Genomic DNA, 8,296 nt, shown 5'->3' on the forward strand with positions numbered 1-8,296 from the left:
CCACTTATCACCTCCAATCTCTCACCTAGAACCATATAGGACCAGAACTCCTGGAAGGAGGCTCCCCCACATCTCCTATGCCTCCGGCCCTCTCACTTGGCTGCTCTCCTGCCTGGAATGTCCTTTCCACCTTCCTTCCCAGGCAGGACTTATCAGTCCCTGCTCTTCCGACCCCACAAAGCTCAGTTACTGCGTCATTGCTACTTACCAGGGGGAGGTTAGTTTCTATGTTCACCTCTATCTCTAGAAGCCCCAGGAGGTTGAGGACCTGCCTGATCCACCCCATCTCATCTCCCAGCCCAGTGTCTGCCCCATCACAAATGTTGCTCAATCAGCCCTAGGTCAAACATTTTGTTCACACTCATGGACCCCCTACTTGACCCACCGCCTGTGACCTGCAGGGTTCGCTGTCCCAGTGGTGGGCACTGAGAGGCCCCAGTCGCAGGCCTCACAGGTGGCTGCAGCTCCCTGGAGCCTCTTTAGAAAATGCAGTCGGCCTTGTTTCCTCCTCAGAAACAACGACTTAGCACAGCATCCGGGCCCCAGGGGAGAGTGTTCCCCCCTCAAAAGCTGCTGCCATTGGAGATGCAGGAGAGGAAGCCAAGTGGGCCCAGGAGGGACCGGATGATTCGGGGTAGATGGGAGGGAGTGAGCAGGAGGGGCTCTGATAGGCTGCATCCCTGGGGTTTCCTGCACATCCCAGATGCTGGCACCTGCTCTGGGCCTGGGCCGGCAATAGCTCTGTGTCTGGCTCTCCACCGGGCCTTGGGTGCATCCCCTGATTCCCCCAGGGTCTTCTCACCCGACTCTCCATGGGATCCATTTTCAACTCTCTGTGTTCCCTCAACTACTAGGCAGCCAGCTAGAGTCCTCACCTCTTCAGAAAAGCTGATACTAGTTAAGCATCCCAAGTCTGAAAATCTGAAACCTGCAATACTCCAGAATTTGAAACTTTTTGAGCGTGGACATGATGCTCAAAGGAAACGCTCATCAGAGCATTTCAGATTTGGGATTTGGAGATTTGGGATGCTTAACCAGTAACTATTTGTAAATATTCCAAAATCTGAAAAAAAAATCCCCAATCGGAAACACTTATGATCCTAAGCATTTTGGATAAGGGATGTTCAACCTGTATCAAATGGAGGGCTGCTTGGCTGCTAAGCCTGGGGTGGGACAGGAGCAGCCCAGACCTGCCCCTTCTTTTTTGCCAAGCAATCCTGAGTTACACAACACATTCCTGGCTACTATATAATAAGAGGTTAGGTGACATGACTTCAAGGGCATCGGAGTTGGGTTGTGGAGTCTGGCAGACCCGGGTTCAAGTTCTAGCTCCACCTCTTGCTAACTGTGTGATTTTGGGCAAGTTACTTAGCCTCTCTGAGACCCAATTTCTTCATCTGTGGAACAGAGTACCTACCTATGGAGGTGTTGTGAGGATTACATGAAATGACTGACTGACTATAAAGCACTTAACACAGTGCCTGGCACGTAGTCGGAGTTCAATGTACATTAGCTGTTTTATAAGTTACAGGTCAGCACAGGCTGGGCCATAGCTGTCGCTTCATACACCTTTGTCCCCCATGCATGGGTGGAGAAACTGAGGCCCAGAGAGGAGCGGGACATCACATCGCTGCATCCCCTTCATCAGCCTGGGCTGACACCTACTGAGGAGCTCTCTGCTGTAATGGTTTCAATCACAACAAACCTGACGCATGGAGTCTTAGATCTTGGGCTTGCCTTCTGCACAGCCTGGCACCCTCTTGTTTAAGAAACCTTTACATTGCACTAAATGCCAGGAACAGTTATAAGCCCTTTATACGTATAATAACAATATTATGCATATTAACCTTAATCCTTCTAGCAAACCCATGAGAGAGATACTATCATTATCCCCATTTTACAGATGAGGGAATGGAACAGTTCGAGGGCTTGCCCAAGGTCACACGGCTAGCAAGTGGGAGGACCACTATTCACCAGCAGGGATGCCATCGACAAGGTTTCCACCCTGAGGTGAACATAGCCTGGGCTCTGTGGTGTGATCATCGCGGGGTGATCTGGGGTGTCTGGGGCACCTGAAGCCTGTCTTCTCCCTGCACCCTGATGCTCGGGTGGAGGAGGCATTTTGGAGGGGACTTGGTGGCCTGTGACTGGGCACAGCGGGAGCATCTGCTTTGTCCTATTAATGCTATTCACTAGATGCCACATCTCAGGCCACAGCAGGTATTTCCCTCGAGAGAGGACAGTGAAAACTTGGAACAGAAGAGCTTTTTATTATTCAGAATAACTGCACTATTTAATTTACTATTAATAATAGCTCTTGAGTCAACCTTCTCCTGAAGAGAAGTGAGAACTGAAAGGATGTCCCTCTCTTCTCTCCCCTCCTCCCTCCTTTTCTGCCTCCTTACTTCGGAATGCTGTGAACTCAGTCACGAATGATTGAGCTGTTTTGGGGGTAGGAGTGGGAGAAATGGAGGCCCAGCTCATGCAGCGAGCCTGGTTACTCCTCCTCCCTGCAGAGCCTTGCTCTGCTGCTCCTCGGGGGTCCCTGGAGGCCATGACCCATCTGTTGTCAGATCCCTCCGGGAAAGAGGATGACCTGTCCTCCTAGGCTGGGCTGGAGGCTAGAGGCCAGGAGGCTGTTTCAGCTGCAGCAAAGGGAAGGCTGCATCCAGCAATCCTTGCCCTCCTTGTCCTGAGGGCAGGAGTGTGTGTGCTGAAATAAGAAGATGGGGATCCCGTCAGAGACCCATCTTCTGCCCTCTGCATCCAGCGAAGGGCTCAGCGTTAAGAAGGAGCACGTCCAGAGAGGACTACAGCCAGGAATGAGACTTGAACCCAAGCCAGGGGAGGAGGATTTGGTTTGGAGTTCAGAAGAGTTGGGGGACTGAGAACTGCTTTCAAAGAACCTGAGGGATTTGGTTCTTCATCTACAAGCCCTCACTGAGGGCCTGCTCTTCCAGGTGCTGGGAACATGTGAAGCCCCCAGAGGGGCAGAGGCAATGAGATATAACTAATGCTACTGTAAGGCAGTGCTCCAAGGACAGGACCACCATGTCCGGTGAAGTCCTAGGAGGTGAGGACTTGGCTTGCCTCATTCAGAGCTAAATGGGCCTCCTGGCTCCCTGAGGCAAAGGATATAGATGGTCTTCTAGGGTTGACTTTATCCCTTGGGCATTTATTCAAGACGTCAGGCACGCTCCCGGCATCTACATCCTTGACTCTGCCTCCTGTATTGGGGCCCTGTGGGATCTCAGGTGTGTCAGGTGGCCCACTGGGGCTGACCTTCCAGAAGATAGAGGCCTGTTTCTCTCTTTCTCCTAACTACCCAACTGTGCAGAGCTAGAGGACAGTGGCTGTCCCCACAAAGGTCTCTCACGGCTGCAGACCAGCACCCCGTCCACCTCCTCTCACCCCTGGGACATAGCCAACCAGCCTGCTCTCCTCTTGTCAATCTCCTCACACCCTGCCCATCTGTAGAGTGGGCTGAATCCTAGATATCCTTAGGTGATTGAAGAGTGCTTTCTAACACTCTGGTGCGGGGTGGTTTCGGTCTGGCTTTCCGAACGTGCCAGAGCTGGGTTCCACATACCTGCATGCACATACACTCCTAAGCACACACGCTGCCTCCACGCATCCCGGCTTTCATTGTGAGGGCCCCACTCTTTATTCAAGGAGCGGTCTCGGGTGTCTGAATGGATGCTTGAAGGCTCCGTCTTTGCAATTAACACGCTGCTGCAGTATTATTAGCCTCTGATAGGCAGGTCTGCCTTTGCCAGAAACTATAAATATGTGGGGCCAATGACTCAGCAAATCTGTTGCTATTTTTCTTGCAGGTCCGTGTGGATCTGTATCTGTGTACACCATGGCCCCATCTCCCAGCAGCTCCCATGGCTTGTATCCATGGAAACGCAGTCCTCCCCAACTATGGTTCTCTGCTGACAAAACCTGGGAGTCTCCCCAGCCCCCTACCCACCTCGGAAAAGGAGCGTGGACCACACAGGCTCCAGCCAGCAGGAGGGCGGCACTGTGGAGGAGGTGGCCACTTTCTCAGTTGCTTTGAAGGGCCAGGCAAGGCCAGGCCTCCAAGACCTTCCTCCGCGGGTCTGTGGTCAAGGCCTTGTCACCTGCTTAAGGGGAGCGGCCTGTTGAGAGAGCCATCACTGAGGCCCTGGGCCCTGGTGGGATTCAGTTGGCAGGGCAGTCCCTGAGGGCTGTGGGCAGTGCGGCAGGGGAGGGGGGGGGAGGGGTTACTGCCCTCACGAGTGGGGAGCACTAGCACTTGGGAGAGGGAGGCTGAGGAGTAGGGAGAGGGCCAGTGGCAGTGAGGTGGGGGAAGGGGATGTGCAATGTGGGATGAAATCTTGGAGCCTTGGCCGGGCACCGTGGCTCATGCCTATAATCCCAGCACTTTGGGAGGCTGAGGTGGGCAGATCACCTGAGGTCGGGAGTTCGAGACCAGCCAGACCAACATGAAGAAACTCCGTCTCTACTAAAAATACAAAAAAATTAGCCAGGCGTGGTGGCACATACCTGTAATCCCAGCTACTTGGGAGGCTGAGGCAGGAGAATCGCTTGAACCTGGGAGGCAGAGGTTGTGGTGAGCCGAGATCGTGCCATTGCACTGCAGCCTGGGCAACAACAGAGAAACTCCATCTCAAAAAACAAACAAACAAACAAACAAACAAAAAACAAATCTTAGAGCCTTGGCTGTGTCAAATAAGCTGTGGGATAGAAGAAAGAGCATGGCCTTGGAGTCCCTCCCTCTGTCCCTCCTTTCCTTCCACAAACATTCGCATTTGCTTCTTCTGGACCAGACTCTATGCTGGATGTGAAGACCCAGAAATGTTTCAGAATTAGACTCTTTCTCCTCAACGACCCACAGTCTCGGGAGAGAAGACAGATTCTTCATCAAGTCAGAGAGCTCAGGGGTCCTGAAGGTCAGGATGGTTGTCTGTATCAGAGCAGTGGGGCACAGGAGGGTGGTCAGAGAGGCCTCCTAGGGAGCTGCAGCCCAGGGGGCAGGCCAGGAAGATGAGGCAGTGTGTGGGACGACTGGCAGGAGGCAAGAGAGGGCAGTGCCGGGAGCCAGTGGGTGAGAGACTCGCGCACTAGAGTTCTAACTCTGGCTCCTGTTGGCGGTGCTCCCTGGAGAAAGCCACCTAAGGTCTCTGGTGTGTAAAATGGGAAATGGCAATACCTACCTTATGGGCCAGGATGGAGGATTAAATAAAACATCTGGCCCCTCATGCAGCATTTATTGTATTCATTCTATGCCGGGGCTGTCCCATGCCTTTTGCTTTCCTCCCTACAGGGTCTCTGTCACTTCGTCTGTCAAATGAGGGAGCTGGGCCAGATGATGTCTAGAGCCTCTGACATTCCCTGTCCTCAGTTTCCCCGTTTTTGAAATAGGAAGAAGAATCTTCCAACACGCTCCAGAAGTGAAGGAATGGATCGTGGAATCAACAGATATTTACTAAGAGTAGCTTGGGACAGGGCGCAGTGACTCATGCCTGTAATCCAAGCACTTTGGGAGGCCAAGGTGGGAGGATTGCTTGAGCCCTGGAGTTCGAGATCAGCCTGGGCAACAGCAATCAAAAAATCAAAACGCCGGGTGTGGTGGCATGTGCCTGTAATCCTAGCTACTCGGGAGGCTGAGGTGGGAGGGTGCTTGAGCCTGGGAGGTCAAGGATGCAGTGACCCCAGTGAGCCATGATTGCACTACTACTGCACTCCAGCCTGGGTGACAGAGCAAGACCCTGTATGTTCAAAAAAAGAAAATATAAAAAAAAGAGAAAAAGAAAAAAGCAGCTTGCTTTTCCCCAGCTTAGGGAAAGCAGAACCCAGACAGATATCACCACTGCTACCTCCATGGGATGTGGAGGAGCAGGACACCCAGCACTCCCAATGTGGCTGGAGAGGCCCAGTGTGGTCTGCAGCCATGGAGCAGTGACTCTGGGTGTCTCGTGTCGCTGCTCTGCTGCTTTCTCTCTTCCTGTGTCTTGTCTGTCTTGGGTAAGGAAGGACTTGCTCAAGGCCCTGGGATCTGATTTCTAAGGACCATCTTGCCCACCAGGGACCTCCAGACCCTTAAATCCTTGTACTCAAAGCCCTAGGGAAGCTGAGGATCAGGCTGAGGATCTGAAATTATTAACACCGCTTTGTCATATCATAGTGGAGTCTCACACTGAGCCTCTGAGGTAACCCCTATTGCTATCTCCATTTTGCAGGTGAGGAAACTGGGGCTCAGAGATTTTAGGGACTGGCTCAAGGTCACCCAGATGCAATGGCAGGACCAGGATTTCAATCTAGGTCAGCATGACTCCAGCCCCATGTTCTTTCTGGGGCTCTGTACCCACCCTCTGGAACTCTGGTAAACCTCCTGAATCCATCGGGAAAGTAAAGGAGATATAAATAGCACGTGGGATTGTGAAGTGAAAAAAGCAAGTTGCAGAACAATACCTGCAGGATTATTGCAGTCATGTAAAAGAACTACTTGAAATGATGCGTCTATATAATGAGATAAATGCACAGAAGCAGGTCTGGAGGGAGATCTATCCAGGGTTGAATGGTATTCCCCTCTGGGTAGGGTTCAACATATTTCAGAATTGGTTAAGTTTTTATTACAATGAGAATGTATTTATGTACTACTTGTGCAATAACAACCTCCCTCTCCCATAAGGCAGGAGATGGGGTGACCCACCTCCTTATGACATGAGCCATGTAAAGGCTGGGGCAGGTGGAGACCTGCAGGGGAATGTAGGCTCATGGGAACCTTGGAGACAGAATGGCAGTTTTATGTCAGAACTCTTTGTGTGTTTTTCTTGTCTTTTAACAGCCTGGAGAGAAACTCCTTCAGTCATTTTACAGTGAGGAACCCTTGGCTGGGTGCAGTGGCTCATGCCTGTAATCCCAGCATTTTGGGAGGCTGAGGTGGGTGTATCATTTGAGGTCAGGAGTTCAAGACCAGCATGGCCAGCAAGGTGAAACTGCCTCTCCTGGGCGTGGTGACATATGCCTGTAATACCAGTTACTCGGGAGGCTGAGCAAGAGAATCGCTTGAACCCAGGAGGCGGAGGTTGCAGTGAGCCGAGATCTCACCACTGCACTCTAGCCTGGGGAACAGAGTGAGATTCTGTCTCAAAAAATAAATAAATAAAAAAGAAAGACAGAAAGAAAGAAGAAAAAAAGGAAGGAAGGAAGGAAGGAAGGAAGGAAGAAAGAAAGAAAGAAAGAAAGAAAGAAAGAAAGAAAAAGAAAGAAAGAAAGAAAGAAAGAAAGAAGGAAAGAAAGAAAAAGAAAGAGAGAGAGAAAGGAACCCTTAAATCTAGATAGCCTCAGCCCAAGGTCAGAGAGCTTTGTTGCCACGGATTGGTTGGTTAGTAACTTGCTTTATGTTGAAGACAGGCCTGGCTTTGACTTTATACAGTTACTTGCAGATTCTTTGAACCTCAGTTTTCCTACCTGTAAAATGGGATTGATATAGCTACTTTGAAGAGTGTTCGTGAGGATTCAGCAAGATCAAGTTTGCTAAGTGGCCATCACCGGACAGGGGCTGTTTTCAACATCATTCCCCAACCCTCTTTTCTGTTCCCTTTGTCTAAGGAATGCCATTCTAGACTCAGCATGGTGCAGATGAGACATAGGCTTTGGCCTGAATTGGGGCTTGGCCACGTCAATTATTGGCATCTAACATTGAGGACATATTAGATGTCAGGAATCATGCTAAGGGCCATACATACAACTCCCTTAATCCAAATCTTGCTGCCTACCTCAGAGGTGGGCACCACCTATTATTATCCCCACTTTACAGATGTGGGAATTGAGATATCAACATCACCCTGGCCTCATAAAATGACTTAGGAAGAATTTCCTCTTTTTCTGTTATCTGGAGGAGTTTGCATAATAAGGTTTGTTTATTTACACTTAAATATTCACAAGAATTCACCAGGAGAATCATCTGGGCCTGGAGTTTTCTCTGTGAAAAGAGTTTTGACTATAAATTCAATTTCTTTAGGAGTTCTAGAAGCAGTCCTGTTCCTCTGCCCATGCCTCCTCCTTAATCCTCAGCTCCCAAATCTGAGTCCTGGAGGAGGTGATTATAATTGCAGGCCCTGCAAGGTACCCCCAGTTTTATTTACCCCCCATGTGGACACTCTGGCCTTGACTCTCCTCCTTATTGAATGGCAGGGCAGAGTGGGGTGGGGGAGGAGGCAGAATGCCAAGAATGAGATCCGACTTTGCTATCTTGGCTCCAAGCTTGCACCTCTCCCTGCTCTGGTAAGCTGTAAGGAGCAAG

The 8,296-nt window shown here is 50.7% G+C and overlaps 1 annotated feature.

Annotated features, from left to right (window-relative positions):
* Positions 3,367-4,566: an enhancer, noted in NCBI's record as "MED14-independent group 3 enhancer chr15:74066905-74068104 (GRCh37/hg19 assembly coordinates)". NCBI's record gives its function as "activates an origin of replication core promoter dependent on BRD2, BRD4, P300/CBP and CDK7 cofactors, and independent of MED14, by STARR-seq in HCT116 cells {active_cell/tissue: HCT116}" and the evidence as "EXISTENCE:reporter gene assay evidence [ECO:0000049][PMID:35650434]".

Source organism: Homo sapiens, chromosome 15 (assembly GCF_000001405.40).
Source record: "Homo sapiens chromosome 15, GRCh38.p14 Primary Assembly".
Classification (NCBI taxonomy): domain Eukaryota; kingdom Metazoa; phylum Chordata; class Mammalia; order Primates; family Hominidae; genus Homo; species Homo sapiens.